General features: G+C 43.2%; 1 pseudogene, besides 1 other annotated feature; it reads left to right on the forward strand.

Annotated features, from left to right (window-relative positions):
• Positions 259–759: an enhancer, noted in NCBI's record as "H3K27ac hESC enhancer chr1:55810023-55810523 (GRCh37/hg19 assembly coordinates)". NCBI's record gives its function as "activates a minimal SCP1, AML or CMV promoter by ChIP-STARR-seq in primed H9 embryonic stem cells {active_cell/tissue: H9 hESC(primed)}" and the evidence as "EXISTENCE:reporter gene assay evidence [ECO:0000049][PMID:30033119]".
• On the forward strand, positions 23,374–24,683 carry GOT2P1 (GOT2 pseudogene 1; annotated as a pseudogene).

Consider the following 25,278-nt stretch of genomic DNA (forward strand, 5'->3'; position numbering starts at 1 on the left):
GAACTGAGGTTTGGGAACCTCTGCCTAGATTTCAGAAGATGTATGGAAACGCCTGGATGCCCAGGCAAAAGTTTGCTGCAGGTGTGGGACCCTCATGGAGAACCTCTGCTAGGGCAGTGCAGAAGGAAAATGTGGGGTCAGAGCCCCACCACAGAGTCCCTACTGGGGCACCACCTAGTGGAGCTGTGAGAAGGGGGCCACTGTCCTCCAGACCCCAGAATGATAGATCCACTGACAGCTTGCACCATTCACCTGGAAAAGCCACAGACACTCAACGCCAGCCCATGAAAGCAGCCAGGAGGGAGGCTGTACCCTGCAAAGCCACAGGGGTGGAACTGCCCAAGACTATGGGAACCTACCTCTTGCATCAGCATGACCTGGATGTGAGACCTGGTGTCAAAGGAGATCATTTTGAAGCTTTAAAATTTGACTGCCTCACTGGATTTCAGACTTGCATGGGCCCTGTACCACTTTGTTTTGGCCAATTTCTCCCATTTGGGAGGGCTATATTTACCCAATACTTGTACCCCCATTGTATCTAGGAAGTAACTAGCTTGCTTTTGATTTTACAGGCTCACAGGTGGAAGGGACTTGCCTTGTCTCAGATGAGACTTTGCACTGTGGACTTTTGTTTTGTTTGTTTTTTGAGATGGAATCTTGCTCTGTCACCCAGGCAGAAGTGCAGTGATGTGATCTTGGCTCACTGCAACCTCCGTCTCTCAGGTTCATCTGATTATCCTGCCTCAGCCTCCCGAGTAGCTGGAACTACAGGCACATATCACCATACCTGACTAATTTTTGTATTTTTAGTAGAGACGGGGTTTCACCATGTTGGCCAGGCTGGTCTTGAACTCCTGACCACAAGTGATCTGCCCACCTGGGCCTCCCAAAGTGCTAGGATTACAGGCATGAGCCACCATGACTGACTGGACTGTGGACTTTTGGGTTAGTGCTAAAATGAGTTAAGACTCTGAGGGACTGTTGGGAAGGCATGACTGGTTTTGAAATGTGAGGACATGAGATTTGGAGGAGCCAGGGGTGGGATGATATGGTTTGGCTGTGTCCCCACCCAAATCTCATCTTGAATTGTACTCCCATAATTCCCATGGGTTGTGGGAGGGACCTGGTGGGAGATAATTTGAATCATAGAGGTGGTTTCCCCCATACTGTTCTCATGGTAGTGAATAAGTCTCACGAGACTGGATGGTTTTATCAGGGGTTTCCGCTTTTGCATCTTCCTCATTTTCTCTTGCTGCCACCAGGTTAGAAGTGCTTTTCACCTCCTGCCATAATTCTGAGGCCTCCCCAGCCATGTGGAACTGTAAGTCCAATTAAACCTCTTTTTCTTCCCAGTCTCGGGTATGTCTTTATCAGCAGCATGAAAACAGACTAATACAGTAGGTACATTAGTGAATGTTTTCATGACTTTGCTTCCTACCTGACCTCCTAACGGTGGAAACTCTGATGATAAACACTCAGGCACTGAAGATGTCCTGTAGAAGTCTGCTTCTCAGAGCTTGCCCCTCCCCATATTTATTCCCCAACATTCCTTACACTGGAATCCTTATGAACTGTCTTTGTTTTCTGAATCTAATAAATGTCCCCCATGCTAAAGGTTGCCCAGGAATGCTGGCCTTCCAGTGGGGCCCAAGCCATCCTTTCTGGGCATGGTCTTGTGAGACAAAGAACACGTTTTCTCTTTTGGTACCTTGCATTTTCCAGGTCATGCCTTACACAGACCTGTAGAATATTGGAAACAGGATGGACAACATTTATTAAGGGTCTATTCTGTGCCAGGAATTTTTTCATATGTCCTGACATTTGACCTTCAGAGTTTTCCAATGAGGTCACTGTTTTTTTCATCCCCATTTTAGACATGGGTGTATTAGTCCATTATCACGCTACTATAAAAACTGCCCAAGACTGGGTAATTTATAAGGGAAAGAGGTTTAATTGAATCACAGTTCTGCAGGGCTGCAGAGGCCTCAGGAAACTTACAGTCATGGCAGAAGGGGAAGCAAACACATCCATCTTCACATGATGACAGGAAGGAGAAGTGCTGAGAAAAAAGGTGGGAAAAGCCCCATTATAAAACCATCAGATCTCATGAGAACTCACTATCACGAGAACAGCTTGGAGGTAACTGCCCCATGATTCAATTACCACCCACTGGGTCCCTCCCATGACACGTGGGGATTATAAGAACTATAATTCAAGGTGAGATTTGGGTGGGGACACAGCCAAACCATATCAATGGAGCTCAGAGAAAGTAAGTGACCTTTATCAGGTCACACACCAAGGAGTGGAGCTGGGGTAAAGACTGTTGTCCTTTCCTAACTCCAGGCTCTTTCCCTCAATTCACAAATGAGAAGACTTGGGCTTAGGAAAGGACTTGCCTGAGGCATATCACTAGGTTAGTGGAGGGACTAAAACTAGACCACATGCTCTCTAGCTCCCTGTTTATCTTATTCCACTCTGCTTTTCTTCTTAGACTTATTATTGTATAGCTATTGTTTCAGAAGAAGAAAACTAATTTCACATGAAATTATTTAAAAACATCCACATGCTTACATAGTTGCATAACCAAAATGTTCCATTTTATTTACAAGTTTTTTTAAGCTTTTAAAGACTTCCAATGATACATTTATTTCATTACTGAATTGGCAACATACGATAACTCAAAATTCATCTGATTCATCAAACTTTCAACACTCTTTGACACAGGGAATATATTGTACTGGGATTTCATTGTCCTAAAACAGCCACAAAAATTGATATGTGATCAAAGAGAAGTAACTGTCTAGAAGCCAGGTTTTCTGATTCCAAGTCTAGTGCCCTGCCCAAACTCATATTATTTATTAAAGAATGTTATTTTTTTTACTGATTAATATGAGAGCTATAATTAGATAGTACTTGCTATGTGCCTGGCACTTTTAACTTTACTTTGCATGTATTAAATCATCTAATCCTTAGAATACCTACCATACAGTAGATATTACCATTTCTGTTTTATAAACAGAGGCATTCACAAGGGAATATTTTGATAATATTAAACATTCACATGTATTTTCCAGTTTTTGTAAAGGTTTATTTTCTACTTTTAACCCTGGAATTACTACTCCCTCTGCATTCCCTTCATGTTCCAAGATGTTGTTATGCTAGGGTTTGATAATGTGTGAGGCATCAGCTAAGATGCTTTTGACCGTAAGGAATAGGACACCTGCCTAACAGTGGCTTTAAGAAGTAGGCGGTTCTAAGCTGGTTCAGTGGCTCAACAGGCAAAAAATACCCATCCTCTTTCCATCCTTCTGTTCCTCTTTCCTAGAGCACTGGCTTTTGTCTTCAGGCTTGTTGCCTTGGGATTTAAATAGTCCTACCTTAGTTTTAGTCCTAAAATGTCTAATTTTTAGAGACAGAGTCTTGCTTTGTCAACCAGGCTGAAGTACGGTGGTATGACCATAGCTCACTGCAGCCTCGAATTTCTGTTCTCAAGGAATCTTCCTGCTTTAGCCTCCCTAGTAGCTGTGACTATAGGCACACACCACTACACTTGGCTAATTGAAAAAATAATTGTAGAGATGAGGTCTTGCTTTGTTGCCCTTGCTGGTCTTGAACTCCAGCCTCAAGTGATCCTCCTGCCTCAGCCTCCCAAAGTGCTGGGATTATAGTTGTGAGCCATCACACCCAGCCTCGAATGGCAGTTTTCAAAGGCAGGAAGCCAAGAGATGGCCAGAGATGCCAGAGTATCATCTCTCTCTTTATCTCTTTTTATCAGGGAAGAACATTTTTCCCACAAGCCTTCCTGTATTTTTTTTTCTTAAATATCATTGAGATGAACAAAGTCACACGGCCACTCCTACTTGTAAGGAAGGCTGGGAAAACATGAAACTTGTATTTTTAGCTGTGGTGTGTGCATGTGCGTGTGTGTGTGTGTATGTATAGCTGTCACCATGAGAAAAGTGGGAAGGAAATGGCTATTGGGCAGTCAACCAACAGTTTCTATGATACACAGTAAATTGTTAGTGGATAATTATCTTTCAGTGTGGTCTCCAATGGGTAATCTTGGGAGGTTGTCAAGTTAAATAGTAGAAGTTCACAGTTCCTTTGAACATTTAGATGTCATAATTCTATGATTTGAAAATGCTCAGTGGATCAGGAATCTTTTCTCTCTCTCTGGCAACCATCCTTCCTGTGAGGTTTTTGTATGAGAATATGAGTACGACTTCTTGCCTTTTCCCTTGTCCACAGTTTATTTTAGCTGAAGAGTGTAGGTAGAATAAAGGGACCACTGTGAGGCAACCTCAGAACCCTGGGGCTGAAACAAATAAAACAATACTCATTTCATAAAATGAGATCAGTGATGAGATGAGCCCCCTCAGAGATGGATTTGTCCCAGACCCAGAAAAGGAAGAGCAGGTGTGTAAAGATGGCCTCAGCATCATCCTGAGGGAGGCATGGCTGGGGACATCTCTGGGAACTCGGCCCTTCCTTCATGGGAACAAGCCCCAGGTGTTGTTGGCTTCTCCTGGGAACCCTTACAGGGGGAGAGCTCTCTCTGTGGGCCCATCCTCAGAAATTGCAAAGCAGATGTTTGCTTTGGGGAGGTAAATGTTTTCCCTTCTGTCTTATTTTCAAAGATCAGCAGAGAGGGCTGTAAGATCAACTGCCTAGCCTGCCTGGTTTGGAGGTCAGTTTGCTGGTAGGCCCAGGGCTAGCATGCCCATTGCTACCCTCTGTCTGCTTCTCTGATGGGCAAAAATGTTTCTTTTGGAGTGATCTGGTGGAGGTTGGCGGGTTAGAGGGGAAGGGTCTCTTCTGTCCCTCTAGAGTCTGGTCCTCACTCTATATGGTGGAGGCAGCAAAATGCAGTACATTCTCCAGAGAACAGCCACCTTCTCACTCCTGGAGTTGGACCCAAGAGAGGAAGAGAGAGCACAGCCAGCACCTTGCCTGGAGCCAGGGCTCTGGCATTCACCTGTCTGGCAGGTGTGCAGGGAGCTCCTGCTGTATGCCAGGTGCCTGGTGAGTGGTCAGCCCAACAGAAGAGTCAGGCCCCACACCTCTAAGTCTGGTACCCTTTGCTCTATTCATGTGAAAAGAAGAAAGAGACTTAACACTGAGCACATTCTATATACATGGCATTATACTGTTCCTATTTTATTGGTAAAGAAATGGAAGATCAGACATGGGGGGTACATGATCATAGCTACACAGGAGGTGGTGAAATCAATGCTCAAACGCAGATTAGTCTCCTCTAAAATTCACCATCTTCCCACTTCACTCAATAAGCTCAACTCAGAAGACAGAGCCTCACTTGTCCAATCCTTTGGGTGAGAACCTGCTGTATTTTAATTTTCCCAGGATGGTGAGGAGAGAGGAAATGTTTGCTGTTCTTTCCACCATCACCTCCTGATGTAAATGTGGAGCATAGGAGGAGAGAAGAACTTCTCATCCATTTAGTTCAGCTCAATTCAATTCAACCTTTTCTCAGCACCCGCTGCCACCAGGCACAGTGTTGTGCAGTAGAACCCAGAGATGAGCATGGCATGGCCTTTGCTCTTACAGAGGACACTGTGATGTTCCAGCATCACACACAGGACTTCCCAAAGTGGGTCTCGCAAAGTTCAAGGTATTTGGGAAGGTGATCTGTCCCAGAACCCCTTGAGGAGACTGTAAAAGTCTAGCTAATCCAAGGTCTATTGTAGATTTAAAGAATCTTGGCCTTCAGGAGCAGAGCTGTGAATCTGCATGCTCACAAGCCCCTGGTGATTCCAATGCTTGCCAACGTTGTGAACCTTCCTGTTGCATGGACATAGTGGGGAGAGAAAATACAATAAACTGTGGTTGTTCTTCCTCAAGGTAGGGGCAGGATGACATCACAGATAAGGACAGACTTAGAGAAGGGAGGAGGAACTTCACAGTAATTCCATGTGGATACTCATCCATCAGGTACAGCAGGCACAGTGCCTCGGGCCCATGAGACTTTCAGCAACCAAGGCAATATTTTAATTTCTTTCAGAATCAGAAGGAAAAAAGCCCCCTGAACATGGAATGTTTTAGTATTTTAGAAAAATATTTTAATTTTTTTTCATATCAGAAAAGGAATTTGTAGGGGCTATGGAAATCTATTAAATTTTGCCAAAAATAGAAAAACACCTCAAAGGATTTAAAATTATACTAGTAATAATTTTTAATATTAATATTCTTACGGAGGGAGTGGCCCATAAGACAAAAGTGCATACGGCTGTGGTGAGGACTGGCCACACACACTGTGTTGGGTGTGGTTTGATTGTGAAGGGGAAGGCTGGGGAAGGAGGCAAGGGCCAGTCTCTGGAGGGTCCCAACTACCAGGCTGAGGAATCTGGACCTTATCCTGGGCACACTGGGGGCTGTTTAAGGGTTTAAACAGAGAGATGTATGGTTAGATTTTCAGTGTTAAGGCAATCCCTTTGCAATCCTTGTCTGTGGGGCTATGGAGGGATTGGTGTGAGACTGGTGTTAGGGAATCCTGAAGGAGACAGTGTGTCTAGGGCAGAGGTGCTAAGGAGGAGATGGAGGCAGAGACCAGAGGATGCAGAATCAATAGCACCTGGTGAGGGCTGATTGGACATGGGGGCAAGAGAGGGAGATGCCAAGGACATCTCAACCAAATGATTAGGATTGTGATCAATAACCCTCATAATCAGCACAGCTCTTGCTTCATAGTATACTTCCTGCAAATTACACTGGCTTCCAAATGTGAGAGGCTGGCCATCCCCACCATGATCCTTCTGTTGTATGGGCTTTGTTGAAGTTGGTCATCTTTTGCTCTACATTATTGCCATCTTCAGGGTCCTGGATGTGCACTCTCACTGTCTGCTCCCAACTTTACTGTAGTAGTTAGGATAATGCTTTCTCCTGTGACAACAACAAAACCCCACCCCCCTACCCCACCAGCCCACATTTCAGTGGCTTAAGGTAATTAGTTCCTTTCTCCCTCACCTAATAACTCAATGTGGGTGTTCCTGGTTGGTAGGTAGCTTCCCAGCAAGTGGTGGATCAAAGAAGGTGTCCCCTTCCGTCTTGTGGATCTGCCAACCTCTCGGTCCTTGGAGTCCTCTTTTTTTAGCCAGAAGATGGGCAAACAAGAGGGTGGGGGAGGCCCACCTGATTCTTACCAGCCTTCATCTGGCAGTGACATCTATCACTTGTAATCACATTCCATCGTGGACACTCATCCCCAGACCCACCTGGACATAAAGGGAGTGGGAAACTTAGTCTCTGTTAGGTGGCTGCTTCCCATGGCAGCTCCATGTTGTAGATGGACAATCATGAACTTTACCACCACAGCCCAGGACTATTCCCAGCCCTAACTGTGAGCACATCGAGGCTATATAACAAGTAACTTTCAAGGCATTCATAGCCCATTCGTCACATCACATTATGAAATGTGATAATAGAGGTACAAAATACATGAAAAACCCCTATTGTACCTAATTAGGTTAAACCATATGGTTTGTAGATCAAAACCAGTCAAAAATTGGCAATTTCATATGATTCAACCCAGTATACTAGAGAAGTGCTTCCAAAAAAGTTTTTGTTAGAACTCTCCATCATACATTTGGGAAAATATTGCAGTGGGAGAGACTATACTTGATAACTCCTCTGGGAGACTTAAATATACTTTAGTCAAGTAAGAGCTCTGAAACATTCTGTATTCAAGAAAATCCCGTGTTGTTTAGTTTCTTTAATTAGCGATTTCCTAAGAAATTGTTGCTTAATCGGTGATTTCCAGGTTAATTTGTGCATATAACTCATTTTTCCCAAATGCCTCTTCAGCTCTCCTTGAATTACTCTTCTATCTTGTGCACTTTGGGAAACTTCATGGAACACTGAGAAAGTCCATTAATGAATCGTTTTATCTAGCAGAAAAAAATAAGGTTTCTCTGCAAAAATCCACGCCAGGCACATTGGTGAAAATGATAACATTTGTTGAGTGCAAGAATGACTTTAAACTAATCACACATCTTTCTGAGCCTTAGGTTTTTCATCTGCAAAATTAACATGACAAATTAAATGAGAAGACCCATTTAAAAGAGCTTAGGAAGAAGTTGCATGTGTGCTAACTTCTTCCTTCCATTAGCATCCCTGAGGTTGAGGAAGGCAGCCTCTTGCCACGTAGAGGACACCTCCTTTCAGCAGCCACATGTGGGATTGCTTTGGGCTTGACGTGCAAACATGTGTAAGCCCAGCTTCTTGAGAGTTCACATGGATATTTGGGTCAGGCAGAGTTATTTTTATACATTCAAAAGAGAAGAAAATAAAGAGCAACATCCTCATGTTGACACGAAATGGCTGCCCTGTGACTCTGGGCTGGAGGTGGGGGGTAGTGCTGGGGGTTGGGGAAGTGACCAAGCCTAAAGGGCCACATGGAACCACTTTTTCGTGGTCTAATCTGGGAGCCAGAACGCTCTGAGCTTGGAATAAAGTCATGGTTCTGGTTAGTGGATTGATTCTCTGGGGCCAGCATGGATTCTGGCAGAGCCTTGGCCCCATCTGTCCTTCTCCTGGCCTGGTCTCCTTCTGGCGGCCTCATCCCCAGGTCTGGCAGAACCCCCAGAACAGATCATTCTCCTGGCCCCCAGCAAAGCTGCTCACTGACTTCCAAACATGTGTGACTAGTTTGGCCATCTGGGCCTGAGGCCTCTCTGCAAGGTGGGCGTTGTTGGGATGGGTCTTCCTTTCCCCTACACACTAGTCATGGCCTCCAGCTGAGTGTACTTACCTGGTTCCCCTGCAAAACCTCCACCTCCAGGGCTCTTTCTAGCACTAAGAGGACACAACAAAGAGAGCTTATTTAAGAATGGGTACTGTGACTGTTTTCAATGTTGCTATGGATCTGATGCCTTTTATAGGTCCTCCTGCTGGCAGACCCATAATGGCCCTCAGAGCCAGAATGACCAGGTTTGAATCTTGGCATGGTCATTTGTGAGCCATGTAACCTCGGACAGATACTGTAATCTATTTGGACCTCAGTTTCTTCTTTATATTGGGGATAATTACTGTTGTTTCATCCATCAAACTATCACACATTCATTGAGGACATTTTTCTACATGTCTGGCATTGGTGACACAAAGATAAACTGTAACTTGTCCCTGTCTCAAGCAGATGATATTCTGAATGTGAAATTGCCAAGCCCATGGCTAGGGACCCAGAACCCAGCGAGGTGTAAATAACTGAAGCTTTAAAATCTGACCCTCCGCCTGAATATTCCAGCTCTGATACTGAACTGCTGTGTGATGTTGGGCAAGATCTTTGTGCTTTCTTGTCCTCAGCTCCCTCATCTACTCAGGAGTCTGAGACATGAAAATTGTTTGAACCCGGCAGGTGGAGGTTGCAGTGAGCTGAGATCGCACCACTACGTTCCAGCTTGGGTGACAGTGCAAGACTCTGACTCAAAAAAAAAAAAAAAAAAAGAAATCAAAAGGAAAAATAAATTAGTTGAATTGGTCACTTGAAATCATGTAATGAAGCCAAATGGGTGCCGTGGCACTTACAATTCTATCCTGGATATAATGTATTGAAGATATTTTGAGGAGTCCTGTGTTTTCTTGGGGAAAGGGCCTGAGCTTGACATCTAACAGACTTGTAATCTAATCCCAGCTGTGTTATTTACTGGCTGATTGACTTTGAGCCAGATGCTCAGTGTCTCTGAGCTTCCTTGGCCCATCATTATATTTAGAGAAAAACATGCACTTTGCAGTGTGGTGAGAATGAGAGAGTGCTTAGGTGAAGTCCTGGCTTAGTCATCCCTCACCACTTGGTTCTGTGACCCAGCCGACTGTGAGTCCGTTGGGAGCAGGCTCTGCATCTGGCTTCTTGTTTTCTGTGAGGCCCAGCACAGGATCTGGCAGAGAGCAGATTCTCAGTGAGCATTTATTGAATGAATGAATGAATGAGCAGGTTTCAGCATGATGCGTTGTAACCTGGGCCCCAAAAGGGGCAGTATAATTTCCTTTGTTGCAGGTGGTGTTTAATGGGGAAATGCAAAGAACTTTGGACCCAGATATAGGCTGGACGTATGAGTTGTATAGCATAGACCCTGCTCGTTAGTAACTGTAAGTCTCTGGACAAGTTGTGGCACATCTTGGAGCCTTGACACCTCAACTTCGTCATATGCAAATTGTCTTGCCTAATTTGCTGGGTTCCAAGGAAGTCCAAAGGATTTCCAGCTGCGAAACTACTCTGTAAACTCTAAAGTGCCATCCTCACGTGAAGGGTTGTTGTTGCTGACAGCGTTTGTGAAAGGCCACAAAGCTGTTGACATCTGCTGCTTGGCACTGGCTGGGAAAAATTTCAGAGGGTCCCATACTCATGCATGTGAACTTCTGGGATTTCTCATTCTGGGAACATTATCAAGAGGCACTAGTTGACTCCCTTTGTCCCCAAGGGAGCAAATATGCTTGGCTCACTGTCTCTGCGGACATTAATGAAACATTTGTGACAGCACAGCAAAGTTCCCAGAATATCCTAAAGCATCTTTGTCCAGTGCATCATAGTTAGCACATCATCAGTACACCTGTTATTTCATTTATTTGATCTTCCTAGTGACTTTGGAGGTTGCTGTGGATAGAGGCATTATTTTGATTTTATAGGTAAGAAAGAAAAAACTTGGAGAAGCTAGAAATGTGCAAAAGGACACAGAGGTAGTTAGAAGCAAAGCAACCCATGCTTGCTGACTCTAGTTCTGACACCCTTTCCATTCCTTTCTGTGAGATAAAGCATCTTGATATTACCCAGAAAATAGAACATCCATGTCTGATTTGTCTTGCTATTCCCCATGGCACTTTGTCCTTGCTGGGAACATAATAGGTATTCAATAAATATTAGAACTGTAGACTCAGTGAGTGTAGGTTTTGGACACTCAAACAATGAGCGTAGGTTTTGGATACAGACAGATCTGTATTCAAATTCTGATCAGCTACAGACTAACTGTGTGACCTCGGACAAAGCATGGTACTTCAATGCTTTGATCTTCAAATTCTTCCTTTGTCTAGGAGTGAAGGGTGTACATCCTGCCTGGGGCTGCAGTGAGCATCAGTGGAGAGAGCATCCCTAAGGCATCAAGTACTCAACCTGGAACATGTTAGGCACCTAATAAACATTGGGATTTCTAGCTCACAAAAGCTCTAAAAACTGGCCTTTAAACCCTTTCATTTGAGTGAAATGAATGGAGGGTGATTGTGAGAATTCAATTCTCTTTTACTACTTTCTGCCTCTCTCATTAATCTTTAAAATCATATGCACAAAAAAGATGATGGGACCACATGCCTCTGGTTCACTCATGCTCAGGTTAGCAGGCGTTGTGTGGTCAGGGACCTTAGGCAGGCTTCCTCCTCCATGGCCTTGACTTCCTTGGCCCTGCAGAGGTGGAGGTTCCCTTTTCCCTAATCCAGATGCACTCCTACATTGAATCAAAAACAGGGCACTTACCCAAACTCACCTGGAAAAAAAGAAGATTAAACCTCTACCTCTCATCTGTGCAAAATACACTATATCTCAGGTTGCTGGCAGCTGGGTCCTGACTATGTAAACGGTATGGTCCTCTGTCTCATTTGAGTTTCACAAAGAAATGATTAATATACCCATTTTACAGATGAGAAAACCAAGGCCCAGATAACCATTTAACGAGCTTTTACGACGTGTCAAGTACTATGTTAGGTGTTCTGTTTGCCTTCTCTTTATGGGGAATTTAGAGATGTGGCTATTGAGGCTTAGGGATGTCAAGTAATTTGTTCAAGGTCACACCATTAGTTAGGGTAAAAGTTAAGATGCTCCAACAGAAACCTCAAAATCCCTTTTCTTTTCTTTCTTTTTTTTTTTTTTGAGACAGAGTCTTGCTCTGTCACCCAAGCTGGAGTGCAATGGCGTGATCTTGGCTCACTGCAACCTCTGACTCCTGGGTTTGAGAGATTCTCCTGCCTCAGCCTCCTGAGTAGCTGGGATCACAGGTGTGCGCCACTACGCCTGGCTAGTTTTTGTATTTTTTAGTAGAGACGGGGTTTCACCATATTGGTACTGCTGGCGTTGAACTCCTGACCTTGTGATCCGCCCACCTTGGCCTCCCAAAGTGCTGGGATTACAGGCATGAGCCACCACGCCCGGCCCCTCAAAATCCCATTTCTAAAACAAGATCAATGTGGACAGCACTGTCATGTAACAGTCTACTCTAGAGCCATGTGGATGAAGTAGATTTGATGTGTAACTCTGTCCTATGAGTTACTCAGGTATCCAAGTTCTTACTAGTTTTGCTCTTTCTTTAGACTGTTACCTCCTCCATCTGGTTGAAGGTGTTTCATTAGCACCACATAAGAATTCCAGTCCATAGGAAGGTGGAAGGAGAGGAAGTGGAGGGGAAGCAATTTCCATGTATAGTTTATTGGTAAGAACATAGCCACACCTAGCTGCAAAGGAGTGGGGGATATGTAGTTGCAAGCTGGCAGCCATTTGCCTATCCCAAACTCAGAGAGTGGAAGTGCTGTGTTAAGACATATGTGTGTTAATACACAGTGAGTAGCAGAGCTGGTTTTGAACACAGGTCTGTTTTATTCTTTCCATCACTCCACAGACCTTGGAGAAGAAGGCAGATTCTTTCTTCTGCTACTCTCTAGTATTCCAATTGTCTTGGTCCACATAGTAAGATACCTGCTGATATTAGCATAATAACTGAGCATTTACGATGTGCCAAGCACACAGTGCTTAACCTTAATTGTTTAATTTAGTCTTCAATCAGACTGAAAGTTTTGTGTAAAGATCTCATAGAGGGCCAGTTGATCAGAAGAACTTAGTGACCCCGGGCTTGAGGACAGGATGTTCCTGCTTCTTAGTACTTCCGTGTAAATCCCAGTGCTTAAAAGCTTGGGACTCATTTGTGTTCTTTAAAATAAATCATGACACTTTCAGATGGTGGATTATTATCTACCCATGCAAAGAATGAGGCAGATATTTATGCACTGATATGGAATGATTGCCTAGTGATATTGTTAACCAGAAAAATAAAGGTGCAGAACATTGTAGTGTGCAGCTGATGGGTACACACGACCACTGGTTTCTCTTAGTGAAGAAGACCTCTTGAAAGATAGGCAAATGATTGGTAATATCTTTTGCCTTTCCCATAAAGAGAGCAGATGCTGGGAGAGCAGATGCTGGGAGACCAGGCATAGGAGAAACATACTGCACACATCCTTGTACCTTTTGGATTTTGTACCATGTGAATGTATTTCATATTAAAAAGTAAAAATAAAAACTAGACTTTGAAGTATAGAGATACCTAGATAATCTTAGAAATGTCCCTCAATCTTTGGTTCCCCAGTTTCTTGATTTGTAAAATGGGGAATAAAATATGCATAATAATAACAATTTATATTTCTATATATAAATTACAATTCAGATATGCCTCACATGAGAATCAACTTTGATAATGCCCATGAAGGGCTTACACAATGCAGGACAAATCATTTGTGCACAATAAGTGCTAACTATCATCATTATGGTTTCTTGTTGGAAGGGATAGAGAGTAGAAATTCTGTTTGTTTCAAGGAATAGACCCTTGAACAAGGTTCTGGCATTCTTTTCGGCCCCAGGAAGGCTTGCATACAATGAACCTTCTGCTGAAAGATCTTGGTTCTTCATTTCAGCTGTCTTTGGGACGTTCTTGCCTGGAACTTGCAACAGGCCATTTGCAAGGTGCCCACATACTAAAACTGGAAACTGGGAGAGGATTCCTCAGCTTTGGACAGCATGATCCCTATTGGCATCTGGATGTCTTGTAGCCCATGACCCCTTCTGACATTTGGAGACACCAAGACCTAGACTGATGGATTAGAATAGCTCTCAAAATCATTAGTTCAAGCCCCTCATTTGATGTATGGGGCAAGAGAGGTCCAAGAGTAGCCTAAGTTTGCATAACAAATTTGTTAACAGCACAAGTCTGGAGCCTCTTTCTTAGTCCCAGCTCAGGTTTTTTTCTACATTTCCTAGGGATGCTGTCAGGTTAAACCTATCTCTTTAACCAATACTGAGCTATGTGTTTTATTGGAGTTTTTGCTTATTCATGCTTTGCAAACAGATATTGGGCATCTAGTGTGTATCAGCCCAGTGAAGGGGGCTGGGGTGAAATGGGATGAAAGATGAGTTAGACCTCATCCCTTCTCTGAGGAATGAGCTAAGGGGTGAGGGTAGAGGGTGGGGAGGGGAGTAAGTCCCATTTAAGTGGGAAGAACAAAGTACTGGGAATTCAGAGAAGGAAGAGTTTACATGAGGACAGGAGAATCAGAGGGTGCTGTATGTTCATCCATTGTCACTCATTCATTCATTCATTCCAGAACATTCTCTGCAAGAGGGAAGGATATATATGTATTTCGACTACTCCCTGCCAGGTAAACTGGTTCAAGTTTTCACATAACATGATCTAATATAAGATAATAAAGAGGCAACTTAGCAGAGTGGAAAGATGATAAACTTGATTGTCAGACAAAACTGGGTTTAACTCCTCATACCACCATCTTTTTAGCTTTGGGACTTGGGGAAAATTCAGTTAACTTCTCTGAGCCTGCTTCCTTATCTGTCAAATGGGGGTTAATTATCAAAGAATTGTCCAAGGGTTGAAAGGGATGATGTTTGTAAAACCATTCCACATGTGGCTTGGCACAGAGGAGCCTCTAAATAAAAATGCTGGCTTCCTTCCCTTCCTGTATCCTTGGAACTATTTTTTTTAAGAGACAAATTATTGCCTATCATAACTTTTAGAATTGGACTGTATTTTCTGAAAAGGGAACACTAATCTAGTACAACATTCTTGAAACTCTGCTTACCTAATCTCTCAGGATCAAAGGGTAGGATGGCCTCTTTCCCCTCCATTTTATCAAAGATATCCCATTGCTAGCTGGACTTAATCTGTAAGATTGCATCAAAGAAAACCCTGCTTTGGGAAATATGACGGCCCTTCTCTTGGGACTTGGGCTTCCATTTTCTGTGGAGCCAGAAGGCCAGAGCTCCAGGGATGCCACAGAAGATCATGCCAGGTTGACCTTGGGCCCTGAAGGCCTGTCCTATGCAGGGTTCCCATCTAGGACATTGTTTGGGGCTGAATTGTGTTCCTCAAAAAATATATCGAAGTTCCAATCTCAGGTACCTCAGGATGTGACCTTATTTAGAAGTAGTGTCATTGCGGAGGTGTTAGTTAAGATGAGGTCATACTGGAGTAGGGTGGGCCCTTAATCCAGTGTAGGGTTTTTATAAAAAGACCCATGGAGACACAGCCACAGAGGGAGAAGGCCATGAGACACAGTGGCAGAGACTGGAGCACTGCGGCTAGAAGCCAGGGAAGACCAGGGATTGCTGGCCACCACCAGAAGCTAGGAAGGGGCAAAGATGTATTCTCTCCTACAGGTTTCAGAGGGAACATGGTGCTGTAGACACCCTGATTTTAGACTTCTAGCCTCTAGGACTGTGAGACAATACATTTCTCTTGTTTCAAGTCCCCCAGTTTGTGGTGCTTTGTGATAGCAGCCCTAGAACTGAGTAGATATTTAATCTCCATTGTGAAAGTGAAGAAATTGAAGCTCCCAAACGTCCTCATTTCTACAGCACCAACAATTTAGTATAAGACAGTAGAGGCAGAGAGTTTATCGAAGGAATGTGCAAATGAATGTCTGTGGCTCAGGGAAGTGGTGTGAATTGCACAAGGTCACATGGGTAGTTGGAGGCACAGTCAGCTATAGGAACTGTGTCTGGATGCCCAGCTAGCTGTTTGCTCCATTAGGACAATAATAATAGCGACCATTTATTTTCCTGGTTAAGAGCCTGGGCTTTGGAGTGTAAGCCAAGGCTTACATTCTTCATTTGTGGCTTTTTGTCTAGTCCAATAAAGAAGGCTTCAATAAATGTCAGCTGTCATTCTTGGTATTTTACTATTACCAAATTCTTATATATGAAGTGGCTTACATACATTATTTCATTTAATTCCCATGATAGCCCTTGGGGCAACTATTATTATTACAGTTTTGCAAATGAGGAGTCTGAGGCTCAGAGAGGCTCAAAAATTGCCCAAATCATCCAAACGGCAACAATGGTAGGGGCAGCCTACAGACCCGCCATGCAGCTTTGAGTGGCCTTCAGGCCTTCTTTCCAGCTCTTTTTGTTTGTTTGTTTTTTTGAGATGGGGGTCTTGCTCCGTTCCTCAGCCAGGAGTGCAGTGGCACGATATTGACTCACTGCAACCTCTACCTTCTGGGTTCAAGTGATTTTTGTGCCTCAGCTTCCTGAGTAGCTAGGATTACAGGCACGCGCCACCACACCCAGCTAATTTTTTTGTATTTTTAGTAGAGATGGGGTTTTGCCATGTTGGCCAGGCTGGTCTCAAACTTCTGGCCTCAAGTAACCCACCTGTCTTGGCCTCCCACAGTGCTGGGATTACCGGTGTGACCTTTCCAGCTCTTTTTAATATGTGCAATGCAAAAGGATTTTTAGCCTTGAGATGTATAGAACTCCCATAAATCACTAAGAAAGACACAACTAGCCCCAAGGAAAACTCAGCCAAGGGTGTTAAACATACAGTTCACAGATATCCAATGAAAATGAAAAGATGGCCAAGCTCGGTGGCTCATGCCTGTAATCTCAGAACTTTGGGAGGCCAGGGCAGGAGGACAGCTTGAGCCTAGGAATCTGAGACCAGCCTGGGCAATATACTGAGAACTTTTCTCTACAAAAAATTTTTAAAAATCAAAAATTATCTGAGTGTGGTGTCATGTGCTTGTAGTCCCAGTCACTCAGGAGGCTTAGGTAAGAGGATTGTTTGAGCCTGGGGAGCAGAGGCTCCAGTGAGCTGAGATTATGCCACTGCACTCCAGCCTGGGCAACAGAGAGAGATTCTGTCTGAAAAAAGAAAAGAAAAGAAAAAAAAGAAAGAAAAGATGCTCAGCCTTATTAGTAATTGAAGAAATGCAAATTAAAACTATGATGAGATGCCATTTCATATCCCCAGGATAAAACTGGTAAACATTTAAAAATCTGACAATAAGTAGTAACAAGAATATGGAGTCATAGGAATTCTCATACACTGCTACAGGAGTTTAAATTGGTAAAATCACTTTGGAGAGAACTTTGGCAATAGCTACTGCAATGGACTGAATGTCTGTGTCCCCTTCCAAATTCATGTGTTGAAATCTAATCCTCAGTATGGTGGTATTTGGAGCCTTTGGGAGGTGATTAGGTCATGAGGGTAGAGCCTTCATGATTGGGATTAGTGTCCTTATAAAAGAAGCCAGAAACCTAACTGGCTCTCTTTCCATCATGTGAGGACACAAGGAGAAGCTGGCAATCTGTAACCTATAAGAGAGCCCTCGCTAGAACCTGATCTTGCTGGCACCCTGACCTTGGACTTCCAGCCTCCAGAATGTGAGGAATAAATATTTGTTGTTTAAGCTACCCAATGGTAAGTTGTTACAGCAGTCCTAACAAAGACAGCTAGTGAAGTTGAAGATGTATAGATCTTATCACCAGGGACCTCACTCTTAGGTACATTTCTCAGAGAAATCTTGCATACATGCATAGAGAAATAGAGAAAAATAGCAGCCTTGTTTATAATAGAAAGACATTGGAAATAAGCTATTTTTTATTTTTAGAGACAGGGGTCTCACTATGTTGTCCAGGCTGGACTTGAACTCCTGGGGTAAAGTGATCCTCCTGCCTTGGCCTCCTAAGTACCTGGGACTCCATGTGCACACCACCATGACTGGTTTGAAAATAACCTAAATGTTCATCCCTATGAGAATGGCTAAAATAAATTGTGTATTTCTGTATTCATGATACTATACATCATTAGAATGAATGAAATTCGATTGCATATATCAATTGGGTAAGTCTCAAAAACTATGTTGAGTGAAGGAAGCAAGTCATTAGGAGAATCAAGGCTTGGTTTGAAAATAACCTAAATGTTCATCCCTATGAGAATGGCTAAAATAAATTGTGTATTTCTGTATTCATGATACTATACATCATTAGAATGAATGAAATTCGATTGCATATATCAATTGGGTAAGTCTCAAAAACTATGTTGAGTGAAGGAAGCAAGTCATTAGGAGAATCAAGGCTATTTGCTAAAGTTTAAAAACCCACAAAAGTAGTATTACTGTTTTATAAATACATATGTGATAGAAATATAAAAATATGAAAGAGAATGACATAAACTTCAGGACAGTGGTTTCCTCTGGGATGCAGGGAAGGGAATGAGATTAGGGAGGACGACATCAAGTATATCTGTAATATTTTAATCCTTAATACAAGTGAGAGTTATGCAGATGCTTATTATACTGTTGTTGATACTTTTTATATGCCTGAAATAATAATAATGTACTTACATATAATTTCCATATACTCTAAAAATAGAGGAGATAAAGCTTCTCTACAGTCAGAATAATTTGTACTTCCCTAAAGAACCTCTGAGAGACCTGATAAAAGAAAGAAATGCAGGCAGCAGTCCAATGTTTTCAGTATTAATTGGAATTTGGATCTTAATTTGGGTGCAGAGGAAGCCATTAAAAGGTTGTGGCTGAGGAATGATCTCATTTTTGGCTTGCAAGGCCTTTGAAACGCGACTCTGTTTCTCTTAGTCATCCTCATCTGACTGTCCCAGCCTCCCAAGTTTTTCTTCTAGTAACTTCACACTTCTGGTAAGTTCCTAGTTATGCCACTCACAACTCCGTGCAGTTGCTCATGGCTCCCTGTGCTTAGCACTTATTTCTTTCTAGATGATCCACACTCTCCTTTCCAGAGCCAGCTAAGGCAATGCTATCTCTTACCAAGTTTATCTTGTTTCCCTCAGGATGGGTTAGGTTTCCCTCTGAACTCCCAGAGCTCCCTTTAGTATTGATGGCCAATCTTATTTCATCTTTGTCTTTCTGGTCCCCAGCAAAGGGCTGGAGTCAGCATAAGTGCTCAGGAAATGAAAATGTTGTTAGAGCAAGAAAGTATAAATGGAGCATTTGTTCAAGTCCCTTCTAGAACTACTGACTTCTAATAATGGCTCACATGGTCATAAAATAACATCACAGTGGAAATTAGATCCTATAATCCTTCATAAAGCTTGAGTAAAAACCTTGGAAAAGAAAACTCTGAAAAAGGGGTAGGATTGGGTGAAGGATTGGGTGTGAGGTTTGGAGGGAGAACATAGTGATGGGTCCAGACTTAAGAAGCTTCCTGATAGCCACTTAGCAAGGTGGAGTCTGCATAGACAAGAACCCAAGTCTCTTCATTCCTGGCCAGGGCTCTTTCTTTTGTTCTACTTTCTGTGGCTTGAGAAAACAGCTGCTCTGTATCATCTTCTTAAAATCTCTTCCAGTACTTACAACAGGAAATGACTCTCCAGTTCTTGGGTAGTGAAACTGGGTCAACTATAACAGGTGGCTTGGAAGAACCTATGATAAGAGGCACTAGAGAACAGACAAGCCTCAGGAAAGCAATATTAAACTTAAGCGGGGTCTCAGAAAGGTCTTTGTAGTTGAATCAAGTTAAAACAAGTTTGGTTCCAAGGGTCTGGTGACTCTCCTAAACATACTTACACATCTGGATATTGAACTGAATTCCAATAGAAATCCATCATTGAGGATTATCTAGGGACAAATTTTTGTGCAAAAAAATAAATGATTGAATGATGAATTATCATATAGATGACGTTGACCAGCTGTTCATCATTAAAATACAGAATAAGACAGAGGCCATAAACAAGATAAGGCTTCCATGGCATTAGAAGAAGTGTGGATGGATGTGCTAATTATCTTTGAATCTCAGGGTCAACCTAGGGCCTGGAACATGGTAGGTTTGCACCAAGATTTTCTGACTGAATGGATGAGCTCTGGAGAAATTGCATGACTGGAAACAGCTTCACCAGTCACCTCTTATATTAATGCATCTGGTTTGGAAGAGAGTTGGTGGCAAAATAAAAAAAACAGACTTCCTACAAGAGCTTTTACCATCAGGCTAACCAGAAACACCAAATCCATGTCATCAGCGGGATTAAAACCAAGGGAAGGCTGGGCAGGGTTCTTAATGGTTGAGAATGAGGAGTTTCTGGGTTATGATGGTGGCTTTCCAGTAGTGCTTGATTTAACCACCCTCTCTCTCATCAAAATACTCCCAAATGCAGAATAAGACATAAAGTTGCAACAGCCTGGAAGGAATGACTTTTCATGAATAATTTGGAGGTCTCTGGAAGGGGTTTTGTCTTGCCACAGCATTGATGGAATGGGATTGAGAAATAACCGACACTGACCTCAAAAGTAGAACCACAGCATTGGACTGGAACATCTACACACATACCAGAATGCCTTGCCACCCATTGCCTGGGAACAGCACTCTAGAGCAGGCGGGTTCACTTTCAACTGTTCCTACTGTCCATCTGTGCCTCTCTTTCTGCATCCATTTGCTATTACTCCCAATCTTACGCCATCCTGGGATGCAAAATTGGCAGTGAGAGAGGCACAGGGGGAAAAGCTGAAGAAACATAGTATTCTGGGGAAAAATGCTTAATTGGGTTTAGACATTTGAAATTTTACAAATTTTTCTCTTTGCATATTTTCATATACTATTGCAAATACTAATATTATTTAATGTTCATCTCTAACTACAGAGCAAGAGGGGATTGATATCTGAGTATAATACTGGTAGCTAATGTCCTTATAGCACTCTAGAATTTAAAAATAATTCCACAGATTATTTCAGTCCCCCACCCCACCACTGCCACCATCATTTCCACTACCAACAAACCCATGTTTATTGAGCACTTATCCCCAAGGCTCCTCTGCAGTAAAGGAGAGATGCGGGCCCCTTTCACGTCTTATGATTTGTGGTGATGTATCAAAAAGGGAACAAGTGTCATTAAAACAGGGTGGCAAAATATCATCTACTTTAAATGGTGACAGGTAACAAATTAGCACTTTTAACACCAAAACCACATTCTGTTAATTTGTGTTTCTCAGCATGCAAAAAGTATAACAATTGAAGTAATTTTGGCTAATGTAAAATCTTAGATTTTTTTTTGGTGTAAAATAATATGATTTAAAATTTCAAATCAAACAGTACTATAGCAGTTAAACCAAAATGAAATAAATAGATTATGAGTGAGGCATAGTGATAGTGGTACAACTGTGCTGTTTAAAGGTAATCAGCAGGTTTATAAAAATATTATCTCAAGATGTAGTACAGATGATATAGACAGGTAATCTGACACAAATTTAAGAAATATGGTAAATAATTTCTGCTGCCCTGTCGATGCATTTCTTTGGCTATATGTCACTCCCAGGGCAGAAAGTTCTTCAGATTAGCATTAACTAGCACTGTGGTTTTCTAACAATGTACCGATCTCTTTGGCCCTCTGCTTTCCATCAGTGAAATGGAAGGCTAAGTGTTGGACATCCACATTCATCATCTCAGTGCTCTCCATGGTCATTTCCTTAATTTGGCTGGCCAGGCTAGTGACTCTCTACATCTTTATCTGCAAATATGACAGATTGGACTGGCTAAACTGTGGTGCTCTACCAATTCAGAGCCTATGAGCTCATTTCATAGAAAATACATACTTGAACTGAAAAATACGGCCATCTCATACTGCTGCTGTAACTGCTGCTACTACCACTACTGCCGCTACCACACTTATGCATGCCCTAGTGAGACTAAGCTGTTTAGCCCAGGAAGGCACCCCAACCTCACTGAGGGCAGCGTACCTAGCAATAAGTAGCCCTATGAGGGCTCATCTTACAGCCTCCAAACCCCACTCATAACCTCATGCCTCACCCTATCAAAACCACTAGGAAATAGCTTCTCTGGGATTGGATGCAAAAATTGTGGAATTTCCTCTCCCAAGAATTGTTAGGCAGTTCAACGATTTTGCTAAAGAGGTGCCCACAAAGACTTTGAAAGAGAAGGAAGGTTGTCTTCTGAGGGTTTGACTGTAAATCAAAACCTGTTGGACACAAATATGCAAGAACCACCCTCTGAAAAGTAGACTAATTTTAAGACCAGAAGGCCATCAACATATCTAAAAAAGAAGGTACTAATTGAAAAAGGGTTGGGAAGTCAAAGGACATAAATGAACATGAATTACTGAGGCAGCACTCCTTCAAGCTTGGCTCAAGATAGAGGCATTCCAGATCTAGAAAACCAAGAGGTCATTGTGCTACCCGACCCTGGGAAACAACGGCTGCTGTTTACTGAGCATGGATTCTTTGACAGGACAATGTGAAGTGCCTGTCTTACAATATCCCATTTAATATTCAAAACAGCCCTAGGAGGTAGGTATCACTACTGCTATTTTATAGAAAAGTAAACTGAACTGAGGATCAGGAAGGACACAGCTGCTTATGGTCACACAACTGACGATGCTGGAGCCTGAATCAGACTCAGGTTTTGTGACTCCCAAGGCTCTGCTCTGACTGCTGTGTGCACTGCTGGGCAGTCACAGGGTCACTTGTACTCTCCTTCAGGCCAGTCTCTGAAGGAGATAGACCCAGATGCTTCTTGGTAGAGAGGAGGTGCTATGGACCCAAATTTATATATGGAAGCCCTAACTCTCAGTTTGATGGCATTTGTAGATGGGGACTTTGGGAGGTGAATAGGTTTAGATAAGGTCATGACAGTAGGACCTTCATGATGAGATTAGTGTCCTTATAAGAAGAACCATCAGAGATTCCCCACTCCTACCTCTCTCTCTCTCTCTGCCTCGTGAGGACACAGTGAGAAGGCAGCTGCCTGCATGCTAGGAAGAGAACCTTCATCAAGGAACCACATCAGCAAGCACCTGGATCTTTGACTTCTCCGCCTCTAGAACTGTGGGAAATAAATTTCTCTTGTTTAAGCGCCCCATCTATGGAATTTCATTATGGCAGTGTGAGCAGACTATGACAGTAGGAATCACACTGATCAAGGGCAAGACTGTCTGGTCTTTCAGGGGCTATTTCTCTAGAGGGAAGACTGATGACAGTGAGCATTTGAATTCTACAACTGCTGCTCTCCGTGGTTCCAATCCTCTGCTCATCAAACATCATCCAGGAGGTCAGCCAGAGTGGGAGCATAGAGGTTTCAGGTTCCCTCAGGAGTTCCATTTCCATTGTCAATATGTTTAAGGGCATCAGGGTTTACACATCATGGGCTTGATTAGCCTAGGTCCTTCGCCACATATTGGTACATTCACCCCAGGAGTGGAAGTCCCTGTGTGTGGCCTTCTGAACTGGTCATGCTGCCTTCCCTGTTAGTGTTCTGACTGCTTTTAAAAAGTGGGAGGGGCCCGCTTGCCCTCCACTCTGTTCTGCAGCTACTCAACTGCCCTCCTCCCGTCCACCATGGCCCTGCCGCACTCAGGCTACATCACCTCCTGGATCACCGCTGCCTTCCAACTGGGCCTTGCCATGGCAGCCTCCAACAGGACTAGCTTCTGGCGGGCCCACGTGGACATGGGACTTCCAGATCCTATCCTGGGAGTCACCAAAGCCTTTAAGAGAGACATTGATAGCAAAAAGGTGAATCTGGTAATTGGTGCCAACCAGGACAACAACAGAAAGCTTTATCTGCTGTCTAACATCTGCAAGGCAGAGGCCCAGACTGCCACAAAAAATTTGGACAAGGAATACCTGCTCATTGGGGTACTGGCTGAATTTTGCAAGACATCTGCAGGACTAGCCCTGGGTAAGAACAGCGAAGTGTTGAAAAGCGACTGGTTTGTCACTGTGCAGGCTATTTCTCGAACTGGGGCCTTAAGGATCAGAACCAGTTTTCTGTAAAGAGTTTTAAAGTTCAGCTGAGATGTCTTTCTGCCCAAACCATCCTAGGGAAATCACACACTTCAGGGATGCTGGCACACAGCTACAAGCTTATCAGTACTATGACCCCAAGACTTGTGGTTCTGACTTCACAGGCACTATGGAGGACATTTCAAAAATACCAGCGCAAAGTGTTCTTCTCCTGCATGCCTGGGCCCATAATCTCATGGAAGAGGACCCTTGTCCAGAGCAGTGGAAGGAAATAGCAATGGGGTGAAGAAAAAGAATCTCTACATTATTTGACATGGCCTATCAAGGCTTTGCCAGAGGTGACGGTAACAAGGATGCCGGGGCTGTGTACCACTTCATCAAACAGGGCATTAACATTTGTCTCTGCCAATCATATGCCAAAACATGGGCTTATGGAGAGCGTGTGGGAGACTTTACTATAATCTGCAAAGATGTGGCTGAAGTCAAAAGTGTGGAGTCACAGTTGAAAATCTTGATCCATCCCACGTATTGTGACTCTCCTCTCAATGAGGCCTGGATTGCCTCTACCATTCTGAACACTCCGGATTTGTAAAAACAGTGGTTGCAAGAAGTGAAAATATGGCCGACTGCATCATTAGCATGTGGACTCAGCTGGTTTTCAACCTCAAGAGGAGAACTCCCACAATCCTCCTCTGAAGAAGGAGGATTCCTCCCACAACTGGCAACATATCACTGAGCAAGTTGGCAAGTTTTGTTTCACAGGGCTAAAGCCTGAACAGATGGACTGGCTGACCAAGGAGTTCTCCATCTAGATGACAAAGGATGGCCACATCTCTGTGGCAGGGGTCACTTCTGGCAACGTGGGCTACCTTGCCTATGCTATTTACCAGGTCACCAAGTAATATCCCTGGTGTGAGGGAACAGAGACAACCTTTCTGTTTTCAGCCTCTGCTCTTGTGAGCTTTGCACAGAGGATGAGGGAGGGTGGATGGTGGTAAATGGATCATTTCTTTCAACCATAATGTATGACTCTCAGTGACTGTGATTCTCAGAAAAGAACATGTAGTGACACAGGGCAGAGGCACTCATGACTGGCGTCTGGAACTTTGTGGCTCTAAATCAAAGTCTTCTTTATCCTTTTATGGCCAACTTTTCTGAAAGAGTTTACATGTGCAAGAAAGTCATAGCGCCAAAAAAACCCTGCCAATCATGCCCTTGCAATATTTCAGATGATTTAACTGAAGTGTCGTATGGTGTCAGGGGTTCCTCATGAGAAACGGTACTCATTAGAGGCTTTGAGAGCAGACCTAGTTCTGGCATTAATAGTCAGCCTCATGTTTGTCCTCCCGTGATGGAGCAACCTTATCAATATACCGTATTGCAGAAACTGTGTTTTATGAAAATTAATGAGCCACTGCAGCAAGGAAAATAAAAGATGCTGTTTCCTGTCTTATTTAAGTAAAAGAGAAGGCCATCTCTTCTCTCTTATCATTGCTC

Source organism: Homo sapiens, chromosome 1 (genome assembly GCF_000001405.40).
Source record: "Homo sapiens chromosome 1, GRCh38.p14 Primary Assembly".
Lineage (NCBI taxonomy): Eukaryota > Metazoa > Chordata > Mammalia > Primates > Hominidae > Homo > Homo sapiens.